We start from the raw sequence: 19,690 nt of genomic DNA on the forward strand, positions 1-19,690 counted from the left end.
AAAAGACATGAAAAGTTGTAAACATCTCTCTGAAAATAAACTAAATTAAGTTGCTTTATACTTGCGTGACCCTCGATTGGTTTTTTTTTTTTTTTTTTCTCTTTGGGTCAGCAACTCTCAATAGAAAAGTTTCCTTATCTCTAGTGTGGAAGATTGGACTAAATGTCCAGTGACCTTCAAACCTGCTCCAGAGAGTAGTTCTTCCTTACAAGAGTGAGTTTTCCAATGATTTGCCTCTTTCTCTCCAAAATGAAAAACAGTAACAAAGTCTTAATTCAGGGCTCTTCAGATTTTCATTCTCCCTCCTTTAAATTTCACTGAATGTGTATATAGGTCTCACTATGAAGCAAGCAATGCAGCAGGAAGAAGAGTCTCTTTTAGTTAAACTCATAATGCCTTACCTAGCTGCACACAAAGGGGGCATTTCAACAATTGCAGGGGACCTAATATCTATTAATAGTTGCCCATTCTGAAGGGTTTCAGGAAAAAGTTCACTTAGAATTACAGACAAGTCCTCAAACAAGCTAGTCAGTGGTGGACCAGACTGTTGGGGGTGGGGGAGGGAGGATTGTTTAAGGTTTTGTTTTGCAGAAAGCTTCATCAATCAATCCTATCTACATCAAATAAAGAGAGGGTAGCTAATATTGTCTACCAAGATATTAATACCTTCTATTTTAAGCTTCATATGCTCCTCGGTGACCTCATCTCAAATCTATAAGCAAACAAAGAAGTACTGCTTTAGAATATGCGAATTATTGCTTCTTTCCCAAGATGCAGTCCTTAAACAGAGGAATCTGAAAACATGTAGAAAATTGCTGACAGGAGCAGGTTAAACAGAAAAAGAGGGACACTCTCCTTCTGCTGAGGTTTCAGCACCATCTACTGTCCAGAATATTAATCCTTCCCCACATTGCACTGTGTGTGAATGGCACTTGGTTTTTCTTTTGCATGTAATCACAATGGAAGGCATTGTCTTTGGAATTCATTGTCCTTGCCTCAAGGTGTACATTTCCTTTCTTTTATAGTTTAAGTAAATATTCGCTTACTTTTTATCAGTAGATGCAGCCCGATGCCCAGCAGATGCAATCACACATTCCTTTAATCAGCAAAGATCTTATTATGCCATTCTTACACATTGACTATGATGAAATTTACTGTATTTCACTGATACTAATGGGATTTTGGGGGGACTCTTTTGCTCAGTGAGTCATAAGGGAGAGTTACTTATGTGCAGTCACTGAAATAAACAGAAAACATTCTAATTATTATTTGATGAAAATGTTTCTCCGTGGGTAAAAGATATCTGTGGTTCCCATTTATGATTCTTTTTTATCTTCCATCACAGTCAAAGGCACGCCATAGAGTGATTTTAATTATACCTTGACTCGAAGATACAATGTATTTAATTTGTCATTGACAGTAGTCTTTTCCTAGTCCTTTCAGATTGTCATTTCTTTTGAATCGTAAAGAAAGCTTCAAAAAGAAAATGTGAGAGGGCAAATTTAACATATACCCCCCTTCCCTCTTCTGTTATTACTTGCTATTTTGCTTGAGGAAGTATTCTTATTCATAGTGGGAAGCTTAGGCACCTGCAGAAAATTCTTTGCATTTAGAAAGACTTCCCAGATGAGAAACCCTGCTACTGAAGCATGGCACAAATCCAGACCCCGGAGGTTTGCTTTCCCTGGTCATGGGTAAAAATAAAAACAAACAAGTTGACGGTGAATGACTTTAAGACAGATTATATCTTGCTTATTAAAAACAAAGAAACAAAAACCTCCTTATTAATCGTTGTGACCAAGTTAGAGACTTGGGAGGCAACCAAGAGCATTCGAGCATCATTAGAACCGTCTTCATAATTAAATAGGTGCTTTATGCTACACATTTTGACCAGGCAGATCTAATAACTTTGATTACCACCTGACTGATTGTTTCCCAAGTACCTATACTTGGCCACCCTCAATTGGCTTGTGCATAGTAGTTTCCATTTGTGGCAGTCAAGCTTATTAAACAGCTCTGCTTTGCGATTTTCCCCCAGTCCTTGAAAATAGATCAGTAAGCATTCCACTCAGGGGCGATTTGTAAATTGCTTTACACAAGGCTCCAGTTTGTGCTCACGCCGACTGGGGTCAAAATTTGCCTTGTGTTTTCTTCTGATGTCATTTGTCAAGTTGCACACGTTGTTCCGAGAACCAGGTCACAATACTATGTGGCTGTGCCTCTCGGTATGAATCGATGAAAAACCTTGACTTGTGAACGTGCCCTATGCTACTTCTGTGTTTTCTTCTGCCACCTAAAAGGGCAGACTTCCTTGTCTTCAGCCAAAATACACTTATTGTTCTTTTTCCAATTGGTTCCTCTTCCCTTCTTCTTAAAGCAAAGTCACATTTTAATTATGTTAACAAAAAGAGAGGTAAGATAAATAGGGGTGCTATTGAGAGAACTAGCCTATGTTTTAAAACTGTAAAAATTCTCAATTCACAGACATAATTCCTCAATGGAAAACAAATCTTAGAGAAAAGTAAATGTGTCTAAAAGAGATCAAATGTGTAAAGGATTTTCCAAAGAGCAAAATTATAAGCAAAGTAGACACTTAGGAACAAACTACATATATAGATGTCTGATATTATGTGAGTGATGATAACCTGAACAGATTTTATTTCATCAGGATATTTCGGCAGTTAAAGCTTACCCCTAAAATCAGGACTTGGAGCTGAGCTCCCTTCCAGGAACCTGGGGCAGACAAAAAAAATTCTACCCAGATTTGAGACCTTTAAAGGACATTTACCTGTGGCCAGAATGGGCAGCAAGGCCACCCCCCAAAAAGAGTCAGACCTGTACAGTATTGGGTGCAATGTCCTTTATTTTGCTATGCCGTGAAGTGCAAACTGCACATTTTTCACATAACCTGATACAGGCCTTTACAGCCACACAACAGGGAGAAGTGGGTGCTCACGAGGAAGAAAAAACTTCGCTTATAAGATGAACTCCCAAACCAAAATTACAAAGACCTTGAGGAAGTCTGCCACCATAAGAGACAATCAGCAAATAGAACAAATGGCACCTTCAAAAGTAGCAATAACGGAACCACCTGAAAAGGACTTTTAGCTAAGTATATGTAGATTTCTCAAGGATAACCTCACCAACCCCATCCATCATTTCCTACTTCCCTCCTTACCTTCCTAACAGAATGGATTTGTTTCTGAAAAGTAACTCAGGAGGAACAGAACAAACTGGAAACTGTGGTGTTTCCATTTGTTTGTTTTGATAGCTCCTTCAAAATGTAGATCCTAATGACCCAGCGGAGAATAGTAATTATAAAATTAATGTTTCTCCCATTTAAGGATGAATTATTCTCTAAAAACTAAATATAATTTTAAGTAATGTCTTGCTCCTGACAATAGGTATTTTATGAAAGTATTAATTCAGGTTTTCTCCCTGGTGTGAAATGCAGAAACTCAATGTTTAAATTTTAGGGAACTGATACATTTTCTTTATTCATTCTTCTTTTTATAAGTAGCATAAAACTTTAATTTTTAAATGGCATATGCTCTAGAATTAGTATTCGCCATCTTTTTTATTTTATTGTTCTGTGGAGTATTCATTTTAAATATTTACATTTTAAGTACTAAAGCAATCTGAGCAACCCTCCCTTTCCTGTCTGGCACAGAAGAGTAATCACAGTGAGTGAGGATGCAGAATGGTGAGGTAGGTTGGAGAGCTCTATGGAGACATGGCTGTGGGTGGGTATAGAGGTGGTGGGCAGAGGAGACAGCTGGCAATGTTGGCAGATTGGTTATACTGAACAAAATGTAAGTTGATTAAGCAAATTAGGAAATGTTTTCAGGATAAGATACAGAAATACTTATAGATGTGTAGGTATTATACATGTATACACACATAGATATTTCCCAGCTCTGTTGCTGAGAAGGCCTAGGATCAATGACCCTCAGTAACAATGAGCACATTGGGTCTCCACCTCTTAGTTCTCAAAGCCATCCTCCACTAAAAAGAACCAGAGCTCCCTGACAAAATGACTGATTCTGGGACTATTGCAGGAAAAAAAGTATAATGTGAACCTTACTGGACCAGAAAGTAAAGAAACACTTAATGAATAATAGTAAAATGTAAAACATACGAAGAGCCCAACTTAAAAGGACTCCCAGTGGCCAAAATGGGGACAATTTGAGCATCAGTGTAAATAATGATAGTAATGTATTACCACCTGTCAAAAGAAGCCATGAATTTATCCTAATGTAAGTAAGTATATAAATAAATGGGGGAGAGGGGAACACTCTTCCTTAGAGTAGAATGTCAGCTGATATATGTAGAAGGAAAGATAGCAATGGAGAATCACCGTTTGACAACCATCATAAAAGCCACTAATTCAGGAAGGAGTCTTTAATGGATTCTAAGGCTGGTGGGTACAAGTTTGATGACCATCAGGTACTGGTGTAATCTTTGAATACCTCCCCACAAAGTACTCATTATTTATTTATTTATTTTAGTTTATTATTCTTTTTCAGACAGAGTCTCACTCTGTTGCCCAGGCTGGAGTGCATTGGTGCGACACTGCAACCTCCACCTCCTGAGTTCAAGCACTTCTCTTGCCTCAGCCTCCCGAGTAGCTGGGACTACAGGTGTACCACACTCAACTAGTTTTTGTATTTTTTTTAGTAAAGGCAGGATTTGACCATGTTGGCCAGGCTGGTCTGGAACTCCTGGCCTCAAGTGATCTGCCTGCCTCAGCCTCCCAAAGTGCTAGGATTACAGGCATGAGCCATGGTAGCCAGCCAAAATACTCATAAGTTACAAGGGTGTAAATGGTAAGAATAAGATGGAGAAGCCAGGCAAACACCACCATATATATATATGTGTATATATGTATATGTGTGTGTCTGTGTGTGTGTGTAGGTGTATTTGTGTGTATATGGTAGGGAGAAGGGGTGTGTGTGTGTGTACACAAATATATATATATATATATATATATATATATATACACATGCATATATATATACATATATATATTTACACACATATATTGTATATGGGGGAGAAGAAAATAAGCAAATACAGTAAAATATTAGCTACTGAGGAGTGTATATGAAGGTGAAAGAGTTCTTTGTACTTTTCTGGCAAACTTTCTGTAAGTTTGAAATTATTTCAAAATAAATTACTTTTTAAAATCAAGAAAAAAGTACAAAATGTGGCCTTATAAGAAAATTCAGCAATAAACACAGATGAAGGGCCAGTGCTTGCATGGTGAGTGCTGAGTTAGCCTTCAGGCAGTTCCTTTTTAAAATTCCATATTCGACATAAGTCTGGATAAATAATAAGAAATACTTAATATAGCTTCCTGATTTATAGTACTTCAAGATTCAAGGCCTTATTTTCATCAGTCTCCCACAGGGCCACTCACAGATTGTCCATAAGTTATCTTTAACCAACTCTCATGAGTAGGAACAGAACTAGGCACCAGGGACTTATAAAAGTGTAAGATCTAGTCCGTGACTCCCAGAAAGCTGATCAGTTACAGGGGGAGAAGCAGGGCACGTGTAAAAAAGACAAATGATTTTGCACAACAATGCACTAGCTTAATGTCGAAGAAAGAAAAACAGTTAATTCCGATGAGCTTCATGAAAGGATAGGATCACCAGCGAACAGGGTGGCCAGGAAGGGCATGTGGGGAGGTGGCTCGGATTCATAGGCTCTTCAAGACAGTAGGCTTTTTCCAGCCTGGCTGGCCACTAGCAGAACTTGGCATCCCCTCTCTGAGGGCGCCCACCTCCACCTGAATACCTCCAGAAATGGAGATTCATGTTCTTCTGTGGCAGCCTATTTCCCTGTTGGAAAGGTCAAATTAGTAGAAAGTTCTTCCTTCTACAGAGCCAGAATATGCCTGTTTGTAGTTACTCTTTGCTTTCTACTTTGGGGCAATGCAAAATAACCTTAGCTTATCTTCTGCCTATAAGCCCTTCACATATTTGAGGACTGTTGTCATGTCTCTCCTAATTTACCTTTCTCGTGCCAAACACTTTCAGTTATTTTAGCTGCTATGGAATTATTAGATCTTTCACTAACCCAGGTATACTAATGTATTAATGAATCCAAAACACGTTCCTAGTAAGCTGTAGTCTGACTAATGCAAAATACAACCAGATTATTACCTCCCTAAATTGGAACATCATGTGTTATTTATGCAACCTAAGATTTCATTCCCTTTCTTTGGCAGCTGCACAGACTCCATGAGCACTGAAATGCTTAGGTATTATCCATGTGAGCTGCCAATCCCCCAGCATGTACTTAGTAGCTGATTTTTTAAGTGTAGTTTTTTGCCTTTATCCCTATTAAAGTTTGCCTAGGTGAAAAGGTTGGTCCCACTTGAAATCACTATGAATTTTGATTCTCATCTAATGTTTAGGGTATGCCTTTTAGATGTGTGTTTTATGCAGAATTGATACAGTTTATCTTGCACTGATTTTTATTGAAAAAATGGTGCCAACTATAGAATGTTGAAATTCATCCGTAGAGATGCTACCTCAGGATTATTGTCATCATTAATCAACACTCTTTGCTGTGGCATTTAAATATGATTAAAAATAATTCTCTGACCAGTCCCCTTATGTCATCTGAGGTTTGCTTGCTGTCTGCTCTTTGACCAGCTCCAGGCCTTTGAAGAATCCCACTTTTAAATTGTCCCTATAAAAACTAATTTAAGGAAAAAAGATACAACTCTACTGAAAGGCATCATCAAAACCATTAGAGTCAAGAAATTTGTTAACAAAAGGGATGTGTCTCCTTCCACAAATGAAGATGGCTGAAACACACATTAAATACTATCCTGATAGGCACCAAGTGAATATCTTGGCACTGTAAATGAAAGATAAATTATACACTAAAATGGAAGGATTGGTAGGGTATCAGGAAAGCAACATTGAAATGGAATTCGTATCCTGTGGACCCAAAAGCACTTATTTTTGCAGATAATAAGAACTATCAGCCAGGTATGGCGGCTCACGCCTGTAATCCCAGCACTTTGGGAGGCCAAGGCGGGAGGATCTCTTGAGGCCAGGAGTCTGAGACTGACCTGAGCAGTATAGCAAGACCCTGTGTCTATAAAACAAAGAAATAAATAAAACATTAGCCAGGCACCAGTGGCTCATGCCTGTAATCCTAGCACTTTGGGAGGCTGAGGCAGGCAGATTGCCTGAACTCAGGAGCTCGAGACCAGCCGGAGCAACATGGCAAAAACCCTGCCTCTACCAAGAATTCAAAAAAAAAAAAAAAAAAAAGAATTAGTTGGGCATGGTGGTGTGCACCTTTGGTCTCAGCTACTCAGGAGGTTGAAGTGGGAGGATCGTTTGAACCTGAGATAGGGAGGTTGCAGTGAGCCAAGATTGTGCCTCTGCACTCCAACCTCAGGGACAGAATGAGACCCCATCTCAAAAATAAAATAAAAATAAAATACTAGCTGGACATGGTGTTGCATGCCTCTAGTCCTACCTTGATGGGAGGATTGCTTGAGCGCAAGAATTTGAAGTTATGGTGAGCTTTGATCATGCTGCTGCACTCCAGCTTGGGCAACAGAACAAGACCCTGTCAAAAAATACAAAATATAAAACAGCGTAGTGTTTTAAAAAATAGAATCCTTATCCAATGGACCCCAAAACACTTCATTTTAGAGACAATAAAAGCTATAAATCAGAAAGTCTTTCCACCAGCAGTGAAAGTGAGAATGTAATAAGGCTTGGATAAGTGTTGTATTTATACATCTAATTGTGGATCTGATTATTAATTGAGTAGTTAATATTATTAAAAATAATGGTTAATAATTAACTCTTCCTCATGGTTATAATCCTTAGAACAAAGCAGTTAGTTTGCCTTTTGTCATTTATACGTTATAGAAAACACTGTAGAAAGTAAAAGAATTTTTTTTTTAACTCTAGGAGAATTAAGCACTTGGTAAATATATAGATTTTTAAGCATCAGTCCTCTGGAGTTCAGAATTTATCATTCTACACAGTATGAACCAACCACAAGTAGGAAAGTTTAGGGATGTTGTTGGTCCTATTTATTGTTGCTATTTAATTACATCCAAATCCAGCCGTCAGTTCACATCTTCAGTTCTAATTGCCTTTGAGAGTTCTATGCACGGAACAATAGCTGAAGTGACTCTTCAGAACAGAAGTCATAAATATAGGTTCTTCCTGATCTCGATGAATTAAAACCAAAGGAGAGGAGACAGTTTGTTTTGCAGGAAGCCATCTGTTTGTTTGTATACAGGGTTTGTATTCAAATTTTAGGAAATTAATCAAGTAAAAAACATCAAAATTCACAACACAGAAAACAAGAGTACTGAACAAACATACACTTTGAGAAAACCAAGTCGCTAATGAGATTTTGAACCTCTTTAGTTTAATCTTTTCTTGTCCCTAGGAGACCTCTCTGGTATGTGTACAGTGCATGACGTTGCATTGATTCTTGCTGCTTTAAGGCTCAGAACATGAATCGGCGACAAGTGCTGAGTTAATGAATCAGCAGCTGTCAGCACAACAACTGCACCAACATAATCCTTGACTCAGGGAACTTCTCTGGTCCTTGCTTAAAAGACAGCTAAGTTTACCAATAATAAAAATCTGTCCCAGATCCCTACATGTGCATAAAGAGGTGAACGTTTCTTTAGGAAAGAAATGTCATTCAGAAACGTGAGCCAGAATTTCAAATGGCTCTAGGCTTTGGGGTATGTGCCAACTCCTTGCTGCTAGCCCAAAAGTTGTCAGGAGATAGGAAGACAAGACAGTTTTAGGGACTGGAGCCTGGGCATTTGACTCCACACTCATAAGTCTGATGTGTAGGCTTAGAGCTAGAGCCACCATTTTAGGCATAAAATCATCACTGCTTGTTACCTGTCTAAGGCAGTAACTACCTGACACGTGCAGTGAAGCCCTCTGCAACCATCTGCACCCCATGGCAGAAATTCTCTGAATTCCTCCTGCGTTTGAATATCTTCAGTTGACTACACATAGGAGTGTAAATTGCTGTATTATGCCCTTAGACTTATTCCTGCATGATTTGCATGTGGACATCGTGTTTTCAGTGAAAAGAAAGGCAGAATCGCACAACAGACAATATCTTAATGACTCTTAGACATCAGTCTGCTCATTTGTTAAATAGGGATGATAATAGTACCTATTTGTTAGGAATAAATGAAATAATCCATGTAAAGTGCTTAACAGTGCTAAGGGACTCAGTTATTATGAATGTTCTTATTCCTTCAGCCTCTGTTATATGTGTTATCCATGTAAACACAATCCATGCTTGGCGGATAAATCAAGAAATAAATGAATTAAAATGAAAATCTAAATTGCAGAATCAGTGGGCAGCTGTTTAAAGTAGAACTAGGCAACATCTTTATCAAATAAAACCCATAGAGGTATATCATTTTAGCCTGGGATCTGTTTCAGTCTTCATTTTTTCTTGAGGAAAATGTAAATTTAAAAACGTCAAATGACATGTTAAGTCAAAATGGGGCTATTCCTTGATGTTTGCTTAGAGTAAGATTTGTACTTACCTCTTTTCCTCATTAAAAAAAAAAAAAAAAAAAAAAAACAACTTCATCACTATCTATTCCTGATGGTAAGTGAATCAATATAGCGGATTTTTATTATGTAGTCCTCAAAAGCCTCGGTCTTTCAAATCAGGGGTTTTCTATCCCATTACCTCTTTGCTGGCAGTACCTGTTGTTCACTTCTCATTTCATGGACATCACTCATTTAACAGTGACTAAAAGCACATTAATCTACTTATCATGATCTTTTCCTATTTTTAGAAAACAACAAAAGTATATCCCACTACTAGATTATAACCTATTTAGAACAGAGATTTCCCTTTTGTAACTGAGAGATTTTCTTTCTGTAGTTGGATAAAAGGATAGAAAAAATGTTTTAAATACTCTCTTTAAAGAGGAAATTTTAGCATGGGTTATCAGCAAGTAAGACTCACAAAAATTCTCCTGTCAGATATAATTACAAAATTCCCAGCGGATATTTTAATCCCAGAGGTTCCCTGAATAAATATTTATGTACCTCACAGCCTGAAATGCAATCCCGCGACTATGGGAGAGGATTAGTCAGTGTTCTTTTATTATTTGGTTTGGTTTTGGTTTGTCTTCTTTGTAATTGTTTGATTGGCTCGGTTTGGTTTAGTATGTAGAAATTTCTGGAATATGGCCTAATTCAGAATTTTATTCTTTAGGCATGTATGCGGCCTTTACATTGAATTCAAACTGCTTCTCACTAGTGTACTCTCTGACACCATTTATGAAATCATGTTGCAGAAAAATAAGGCACTATGGGTGTGAATGTAGTTTTGGAGTTCATAAACTGTCTCAGCTAAGCAAGCCCATTCTATTCCCAGTTTAAACTATAATGTAAAGGGTGAATTTTAAAGCGAATTGATGGTCCTTATTTTTAAAAAGTAATATACCTGTATCATTTTGTCAGTGATGTTCATTACAGCATTATTTATTATTTCTAATTATAAATATTAGAAAAATGTCTAATAAAATTTGCTAAAATGCCAACTAGTTTCAAAATGGTTAAAACTGTAAGCTTAAAGCAGATTATAAAATTATGTTGACAAAGGAATAAACATGCCTATACAATATTGAGGAGAAAAAGGAAAATCGTATTTGTCTCATTTTTATAATGGTGTAAAACAAAACAACTGAAAAACTGTGAACCAAAAAGACTGGGGGAAATTATACCACCATGAAAATAGATGTTTTATCTGGGTAGGATTTGTTTTTCTATTCCTTCTTTTAATTTTCCTGAATTTCCTAAATTACCTGTGCTAAAACATTTATTACTTTTACAATAGAAAAAAAGAGCCTAACAAACTTCAAATCAACATGGATTTTTCCTGTTTGCACTCAGCTGAAATGTAGCTTTCTAGTGAAACTGGAGAGAGACGAAAACCTTTTCAAAGAGGCAATTCAGAGCAGGCTGCCAGAAAGTAAGCCCTTCCACGAGCATCTTTAGAGATCTCACCTCCATGCTCCCTGGCTGAGTTCTGTTGCTCTGAGAAGGTTCACATAATGAGTGTTTTCATCTTTTCATATTAAAAATGACCTCCTGGCCTGAGTCTGAGCTTCCCAGATGACTGAGGTTTGCTGGTCACAGCCTCAGAAAAAATAAAGCAAAATTACTTAGTATTTCATCCTGCTCTTGGAGTCTACATTGTATTTCCACACAAGCTCACAGACTTTGTTGTTGTTATTGTTTGTTTTGTTTTAACTCTCCAGATCCAACAAGGGTAATGGTACCCCCTTCCAGTATGGATGTCACTGTTGGAGAGAGTATTGTTTTACCGTGCCAGGTAACGCATGATCACTCGCTAGACATCGTGTTTACTTGGTCATTTAATGGACACCTGATAGACTTTGACAGAGATGGGGACCACTTTGAAAGAGTTGGAGGGGTAAGTATTAATAGCAAAAACTGACTCAAACTAACTTGTTTAGACCAACTTAACAATATATTTAAAGTTACTATTTTAGAATTTTGTTCAAGTAATCTTATGGCAAGAAACTCTTGGTTAATTCCTGCTCCTTTTTGCACAATAAATGTGGCATCACTCATTGAACAACTCTATATGGCAGGACTGCTCCCTAACTGGCACCAATCCTACAGGTTAATTATTCATTCCTGTGTATGGATTAGAAACTAAGGCTCACAGGCATTGGATGACTTGCCTTGGCCTCATAGCTACTGAATTGTGGAACTCAGCTTAAAACTTCAAATCCCAAACTCTGTGTCACATATCATATCATATATCCTAGAATCTGACCAAGAAAATAGCTTAAGGATAGTTTCCTTCTGTTTTTAGGCTGCTAATTAAACTCCCTTTGACCTTGTAGAAGGCACGTCATTGTGAATTTAGGGTTTTCTTTCTTGAATTTGAAAGTCTGATGGGGTTATTTACTATCTCCAGGTAATTTGAATTCAAAATGATTGGATTTTCAAAATGCCTTCCTTTCCATAACGGTATATTATCATTGAACACATAACAAGAAGAGGTTAAATCTGGGAACAATTCCTATCAATCACAATCATTGTCAAAAAATTTTTTTCTGCTCTAACGCACCTCTGTGATCCCATTGACAATAAAGATGGACTCCGGCTGCCATTTTTATGATGGAGTCCAGCCAAAACATAGCGGAATACAAAAATGGGGCCCTGACTTGAAAAGCTCTCCCCACTTCCTAGGCTGCTATAAAAATCTGTCCACCCCCTTTACGTTGAGAATAAGTGGCCTAAAGTCATCCATGTGATATAGTGAGAGCATATTTTCCACCCAACTACAGTACTAGCCCTGTTCATCACAGTCTTACTACCTTTATCAAACAGGGTTTTTGCAGTTGAGTCACAGAATGCCCAAAACAATTTCAATGACTGTTGTCTCAGTTCTATGCCAAGAGTGGTATCTGATTGGTACAACTTTAGATGGCACAGGAAAGAAGTTAATTCGTTACATCAGTGGATGCCTGGGTTCACTAGGGATTATCTCTTGGGACCCTGACTGAGAAAGGCTGGATGAAATTGCCAGCGTAAACCATTCTGGACCTCTTTCACATGGTTCAGCTTAATAACTTTGGCTAAGTGAAAGAAATATTAACTACTTCACAAAGACATTGGAGATATTGAATATCCTGAGGTCTAGGAAAGTACATAGCCCAATGTCTACCACAAAAGAAGTACTTGATAAACTTTAATGGTGGTATTAATTGAAGGAAGGGTAACATTGATTGTAATAACAGGAAAGTGTAAATCGAGAACATTCTTCATAAATTAAGCAGAATGTTCTCACATTAAAACCAATTTCTTGGGCAGGAGAGATATTAAAAATGCTAAATCTCAGAATGGCGCAAGCACCAACCAATGAAAACAGATGCCCGACCAATCGAAGTGGACGTCCTACCATTCAGACACATGTAGCCTTTATGCCAGAATGGTGCCAGGGCTAAGGCAGAAACAGGGACACCTAATGAAGTCAAACACTGATGACTACCTTTTGTAAAGACAGCTGTCCGTAGAGCTGCTCACATTCATCTTTCATATGGAAAATGTCTATCTCCCCTGTTAAACTAGTGCTAACACCAATCAACTTCTGCTGAGAAATACATAGAAAATTAAGGACAGCACAACCACATGTGAGATCTAAGTGTACTAGCCACTAGGATCATTAATGTCTGTGGAGTCAGGACTTGACAATAGAAGAGATAAGCAAGCGCAATTTTGAAGTCAAGCCTATTTCAGCTTCGACTTCCTGGGTCAGCATGGTGGAAATGATGCTTGGTATAGAGTTAACCTATTGAGGTTTTATAAAAGTTATTATTTCATTGTCCTCTGATACACCCCATCCCCACCGAGTATTCTGTCAGGAACACAACAGACTGCGGTGGTGGAAAATAAGCAGATGCTGTTGTTTTCTTTGGTAGGAACATAAAAAATGTAGATCTTAGTTAATAGTTGGGTCTGGGTGACTTCAAAGGGAAAGAGAAAGTTATTGTGGTCTGCTTTGATGAGACTCTTACCTCACTCCTCACTCTATTTTTTTCTTTGTTTCAGTTTTACTTTAAAAACACAAATCCAGTCAAAATGTGTAAATAACTACAGTACTTCTGAATCGCAAAATCAAAATTTTCTATTAATAGGTTGCTGTGCTCTGAAATATCCAGGCTGCAAGTTTCTTTGACATTTAAGCCCTTCATGAATAAAGTGAATTAGATAGATGGTATAGGCATTTCCCTAAGGCCAATGTGGCTTCCCACCTTCCCTGCACGCATCCCCTGGGGCATATTTTTTATTTAAACCTGTATTCGAAGTCCCCATATGTGAAATTTCTTAGGTAAAGTATCAATAATCTTAATAATGATGATGATAATAGTGATAATTCCTGATACTTGCAAAGTGCCTAATCATTTATCGGGTACTTTCTTATATACACTTGACCCTTGAACAACACAGGTTTGAGCTGTATGGGTCTACTTATATGTGGATTTTTTTTCTACCACACTCAGATTGCAAATACAATATTCGTGGGATGTGAAATAACCCACATATATGGAAGACTGACTTGTCATATACTCGGGTTCCAGAGGGCTGACTGCAGGACTTGAGTATGTGTGGATTTTAGTGTACTACGGTCCTGAGTCCTGAGTCCAATCCCCTGTGTCTACCAAAGGATGACTGTAATAGCTCCTTAATCCTCACAGAAATCTTGTCAAATAGGTTAACAATTATTTTCCCATTTTATTGAGCAATTATAAGACTTGATCCGTAAACAGTGGCATCTGGATGAGAAGCCAAGTGTTACAAACAAAAGACGTTTTGGGTTAAAATACCATAGCTTTTCCTGAATTAGATTTAACATCTTGGACATGTCTGTTTCACAAAAAAATGGATCATGGCTGTCAGTAATACCAGTTTAGAGTTAATCTACGCTTCAAGGTTTCAGAAGATTTTCACATAACACAGATAATCTCATTTGATTTTCACAACCTAGCATGAAGGTCAATAAAGGTCTTTTGAAAGTCAGTAAATCAAGGCCAAGAGAGATTAAGAGATTTAGATGAAATCACACAGCAGGAATCAGCCCAAGACAACTAAGCACCAAAACTGTAGCTCTTCCTTCACTCCATGCTTTGGCATCTCTTCTAATCGTATTTCTAATTGGCAATTCTATCTCTTCCATTATCCTGTGAATGTGACACTCTGTACTGAAACGATGGAGATAACCAAATACATATTAATTTTGAAATAGAATGAGGATATGGTCTTTCCGGATGCTAGTCTAGTGTTACTGTTAAGAACAGGGACTATATGGGTTCAAATCCTGGCTCTGCCATTTTCTAGCTACGTGACTTTAGGCAAGACTCCTAACCTCTTTGTGCTGGAATTTCCTCATCTGTAAAATAAGGATAACAAGAATACCTGCCTCAGAGGACATGTGAGTATTTAGTGAGTTTAATATAGGTAAAGTACTTGGAAGCTGCCTGTCATATAGTAAATACCATTAAACATCATCCATTACTATTGTCATTGGAGAAATAGCAACACAAGAGTCTGTGTCAATTTCCTGTTGTATAGTTTGGAATGGGAAAATGAAGGAGGGCCAATATACCCTAAATTATCTTGTCATCCATTACGGGTTTAGAATGAAGTGTACTTTTTCAAATCTGGCCTCTAGGGTGGTCTCTTCATCAAGCAGCTATTCTCCAAACTTTGGATTAACAGGGCTATGAACCAAACTCCAAGGTGTAGCAGTGTTCTTCAGGTAAAGTGCTGCCTTTGTGATAGCCTGTGGAATCATCTCCTCACATTTATTAAAAGTACTGTGCTGGCGAATGCTGGAGAAATATTTCTGGGGCGCATAGACATCCAAACCAGGATGTAATTAGTCCCATTCTTCTGCTAATCAAACATGCATTTGGCATTTGGAAACCAAATGAGCACTGTTCCACACTAGGTGATGCGAGATTTCCTTGGAGAATCTGGTCTTCCTAATCCTTTCATTCCAACCTGGGAGCAATAACAATGCTGGCTCTAAGAAAGGGTTGAGCAATAAAATGCAGATACTTCCAAATGTGGGCTTGCTTCCGTTTTCCAAATACAGAGTTCTAAAGTATCCGAACGCCAACCAAGGCCATAGGCTGAGGGCATTTCTGAAGAAACTCACAAAACTAGATCGAGAGCCACCGTAGTACGTAGGACTTATGTAGCATGTAACTTACGTCCTTCCGACATGGGTGCCAAACTGCTCCAGAGACTCAGAGAAGCCAGACACCTGAGGTCTTGTCGAAGATGTGTTCTGAAAACGTCGGTGTTCCCATCTCTCAGGCAGGCTCACATATTTTTAACAGGCCATGGTTTGCATCACTAATGCTTTCATCAGCCAGTGTAAAATAAATCCATTAGTCACCGTGTCCTTCATGTGATAATGATATTTAGAGCTCATTAAAAAGTAATTGCAGCCACTTTCCCCTACTTTATCAGCAGGATTCAGCTGGTGATTTGATGATCCGAAACATCCAACTGAAGCATGCTGGGAAATATGTCTGCATGGTCCAAACAAGTGTGGACAGGCTATCTGCTGCTGCAGACCTGATTGTAAGAGGTACTGGATTTTGTTGTTATTGTTGTTCTTGAAATATTTTCATGATATCTACTGTAGCGCAGAGTTCCAGAAACCTCAGTGGTTTAGAATTATGGGAAAAAGTCAGGCAGAAGCTGAACATTGTAAACAGTGGCTAACAGTCCACAGAAGTTTCTGGTTCATATACAGTTCCTCAGTGCGGCTTGTCAGAAAATGCACCGAACACATCCAGTAACTTTACACTAGAAGGATAATTGAGTAAATCGAGTACCCGATTACGGCTGTTGGAGTTGATATGACCTTCTAGAACAAATTTAGGTGAACAAAAGCAGATAGTTTAAAGAGGGATTAAACTGTCCCTTTTTATGTTTCATCTGGGCCAAACTGAATTAGTATCCTAGGCCACTGGTATAACAGCAGCTTAAGTAAAGTCATCATCAGGTTTATCCGAGTTTCCTTTTTTCCCTAAACTTCACAGTGCTGTTCGGTTCCTAAAATAGGGTTTTGGGAGAGGACACTTCCTGACTGCCTGGGATGTAGTAAATGAGCTGAGAGTTGATGTAAATACTAACATTTTTGAGATTCTCTTGAATATTATCAGCATGACCTAATTTGGACCTAAGAGCTATGACCCCCCCGGCTGAGCAACACCAACTGAGTACATTCCAAGCCTCACCAAACCGGTTGGCAAAGGAACTGTAAATGGACTTTTAAGAAATATTTTTAAATGAAAATTAAAATCTTCACTAACCAGTGTACATACCAGAATCCAACCTATGCATGCTCAGGGGTTTTCTATAGCATTAAAATAGAGGCCAATCCAGACATCAAAATAATATCTTAGCTAGAATCTCCTTCATCAGAATCCCTGACTGTTGGTGTTCAGGCATCTTTGGCCGGCTGGCAGAGCGCATGGCAAAACTTCGAACGCAAGAAAATAAAAATTTAGGGTATGAGCGTTGGAGGCAGGGTTAATCTGCATGCACAGAGAACAAGGTATTATTGGAAGCCATAAAGAGTGTTGCTGTATCCTCTAGGCATAATGTAAGGGGGGAAATGTGTGGGAGTTACCAACTTAAACTGATTGTGAAGAGAGGGTTCAAGAGAAATAGCAATTCCAATGTGTCTGCTTTGTTCCCCTTTCAATTGCCTTTAAAAAAACTTTCAGCAACAGTGCAGACAAGGGCTGGAAATGAGAAAAAACTTTCAACCGAGGTAGATCTGCCCACAGAATAACTTATAGAAATGTGTTTATTTCCATTTGAAAATACACCAGGCTGGTCTGCCCTCCCCTTGGGAACAAAAGAATTCTGTTGCTGAAAATTTATCCTCTATTTAATTAGGATAATGTTCAGATCAGCAGTTAAAACACCAATAAATTAGACTAATAAATATTTAAATCAGCAATACTTGAAGTTCTTAAATGATATTGTATACTTCATTTCACAGAAAATAACATTAAATACCAGGAGGAATTTGCAAACGCAGTCTAAAAGAAAATCTAGTCTAATCAGTTAATAAGGCCAATAAATTAATGTGCCATTTAAAACCATAATCTTTCATTTTATCTCCTTCTGCTCTGCCCTTGCAGCTTTTCTTGCACATTACAGAGGGGGAGGCAGGAATGTATTTCACCACCCTGAAAGACATTTTCATATTTGAAACGTATAGCAGCTTTGAGTCTTGGCTCCAGATTCTTTGATTTTCTGAGGCCTGTTCTATTTAACCTATAGCACTGTAATGGCAGCCAGAAAGGCCACCCTTCCTGAGGGAGAAGCAGACCCCAGAATCAAACTAATCTTCCCTTTGCCATTGCCTGAAACAAAATCTTCTACATGCCCCTGAGTGTGTTATCATTTTGTTCAGAGGACAAACATTTGTACATTTTTCATTTTGAAAGAGGGAGTCCACTTCCCTAAAACAAAGTTGGTAAACATTCTGTAAGGTCGTAGCTATGCATCGGTAGGAGAGGGTGGCAGGAAGATAAAAAAAAGAACAAACAAATCCAGGAAACTACCATCTTCTCTCCAGTGTCCAAACTCATACCAGCCCTTCATTTTCTTCCTATAGAGAGGCCAACAATGGACTCAGATATTTCCTATCGATTTAATTCTTTGAAGAGTTCAGAGGGAAACACTTTTCTATTTGTGGTACTTAGATTTTAAAGGACATCAGTGCAGCATCCATTAAAAAAAATGGTGGGGAATGCTAGGATGAGAAAACTAGTGAAAAAAATTATATTGTCTTCTAGACTTTATCTGGTTAAAAGGGGTCCCAAGACCAAAGGTTACATCAGCTCTATCTAGGTGACATTAGACTGACATGCTGAAATGTCACCATGGAAAATTAATCAGTTCCAGCATACAGATTTCCAGACATTTCATTCAGGAGTGGGAGGGAGAAGATAAATTTAGTCTCACCTGTGGGTCTATAAAAGTGATTTTTAAAAAAGGAAAGGGAATTTAGGGCATCACGTAAACGGTGAAGGAGTGAATCCTAGAACAAAGGCTAACTTCAGGAAATTGCTGTTAATTTTGCACTGCTCTGTGAGAGGTTTCTTTTTTCCCTGTCCCTGTGACATGGCCTGATAGTATTTGGGTAGTACATTTGATTGCTAGACTGGGGATTAGCAAATCCTTCCTAGGAACATCTCCTTATGCCCGTCTAATGGGCATGAGGTTTGTCATTATGTCCCCTCACCATCACCTTCCCTCCTGAGGTGGTCAATTGTACCTTGTTAAAAATGCATTTAACTGCCTGGTAAGAGATTTTCATGTTGGAAAGTGGGATAGCTGCGGGTCTTTGCTCTGGCTCTGTTGATATTTTGTCTTTACCTGCCAGCTGCTTTCCATCCCTCTATTTCTTTATTAGTTTCAAGCCTTCATTTAAATCTGATTTCCTCCCCTTTCCATGGTTTAAGTACATGGACAGAAACAACGAACATCAGGAAGAGAAGTAGAAAAATACGGGTATGAGTTGCAGAAACTACAGATGAGGGTCTTTAGTATCTAGCCTAATTTTGAAATTGCTTTGAAGAAGGGAGCGCCTTGACTCTTGCGCACCGGCCATTTTCACAGCAGTTCCCTTGCACGCAAGTGTGTGCTCACGTGGGAAGCAGGGTTGGATGTGAAGAGAGTGCTAGTAATTACAGTGCAGCAGAATGTGCAGAGCAACACTGTAACCTTCAAAGTTTTAAAGCCATTTGTGCTTAAATCTATATTCTCAGTGGTAGAAATAACCATTTCCAGCAGACTATACTCTTTATGAAATCAGGAGCAATATCTATCTTTTCTCACTACCGTATCCTCAAATAACACTGTCTGACCCATATTAGGAACCTATAAATAAATAATGAATTAATGAATGTGGGCTCTTATGGTACCCCAATACTCTCTATTAACATTAAGTATTCAGTTGTAATTATTTGTTTACCTATTAGTTTTTCATATTAAACTGTGGGCCCCTAGAAGGAAGGGGCTGTGTTTCATTCACCTCTGTGGTTTCCAAGCCCAGGAAAGTTCCAAGCACGTAGTAG

General features: G+C 38.3%; 1 protein-coding gene across 40 annotated transcripts in view, besides 1 other annotated feature; it reads left to right on the forward strand.

Annotated features, from left to right (window-relative positions):
• Window positions 1-19,690, forward strand: part of CNTN4 (contactin 4) — a 959,094-nt gene that overhangs the window by 915,934 nt on the left and 23,470 nt on the right. For 33 of the 40 annotated variants that reach the window (XM_017005783.2, NM_001350095.2, XM_011533427.3 and 30 more), the window contains 2 exons: window positions 11,303-11,478; window positions 16,056-16,176. In XM_017005783.2, the coding sequence (XP_016861272.1) occupies window positions 11,303-11,478; window positions 16,056-16,176 (297 nt within the window). The remainder of the gene's footprint in view (window positions 1-11,302; window positions 11,479-16,055; window positions 16,177-19,690) is intronic. The other 7 variants (XM_047447536.1, XM_017005785.2, XM_006713004.5 and 4 more) reach the window with 1 other exon arrangement.
• Window positions 15,797-15,966: an enhancer, noted in NCBI's record as "experimental_69430 CRE fragment used in MPRA reporter constructs". NCBI's record gives its function as "activates a minimal promoter by MPRAs in K562 erythroleukemia cells, with activity observed for the non-introgressed 3:3072365 variant allele {active_cell/tissue: K562}" and the evidence as "EXISTENCE:reporter gene assay evidence [ECO:0000049][PMID:34662402]".

The sequence above is a fragment of the Homo sapiens genome, chromosome 3, assembly GCF_000001405.40.
Source record: "Homo sapiens chromosome 3, GRCh38.p14 Primary Assembly".
NCBI lineage: Eukaryota > Metazoa > Chordata > Mammalia > Primates > Hominidae > Homo > Homo sapiens.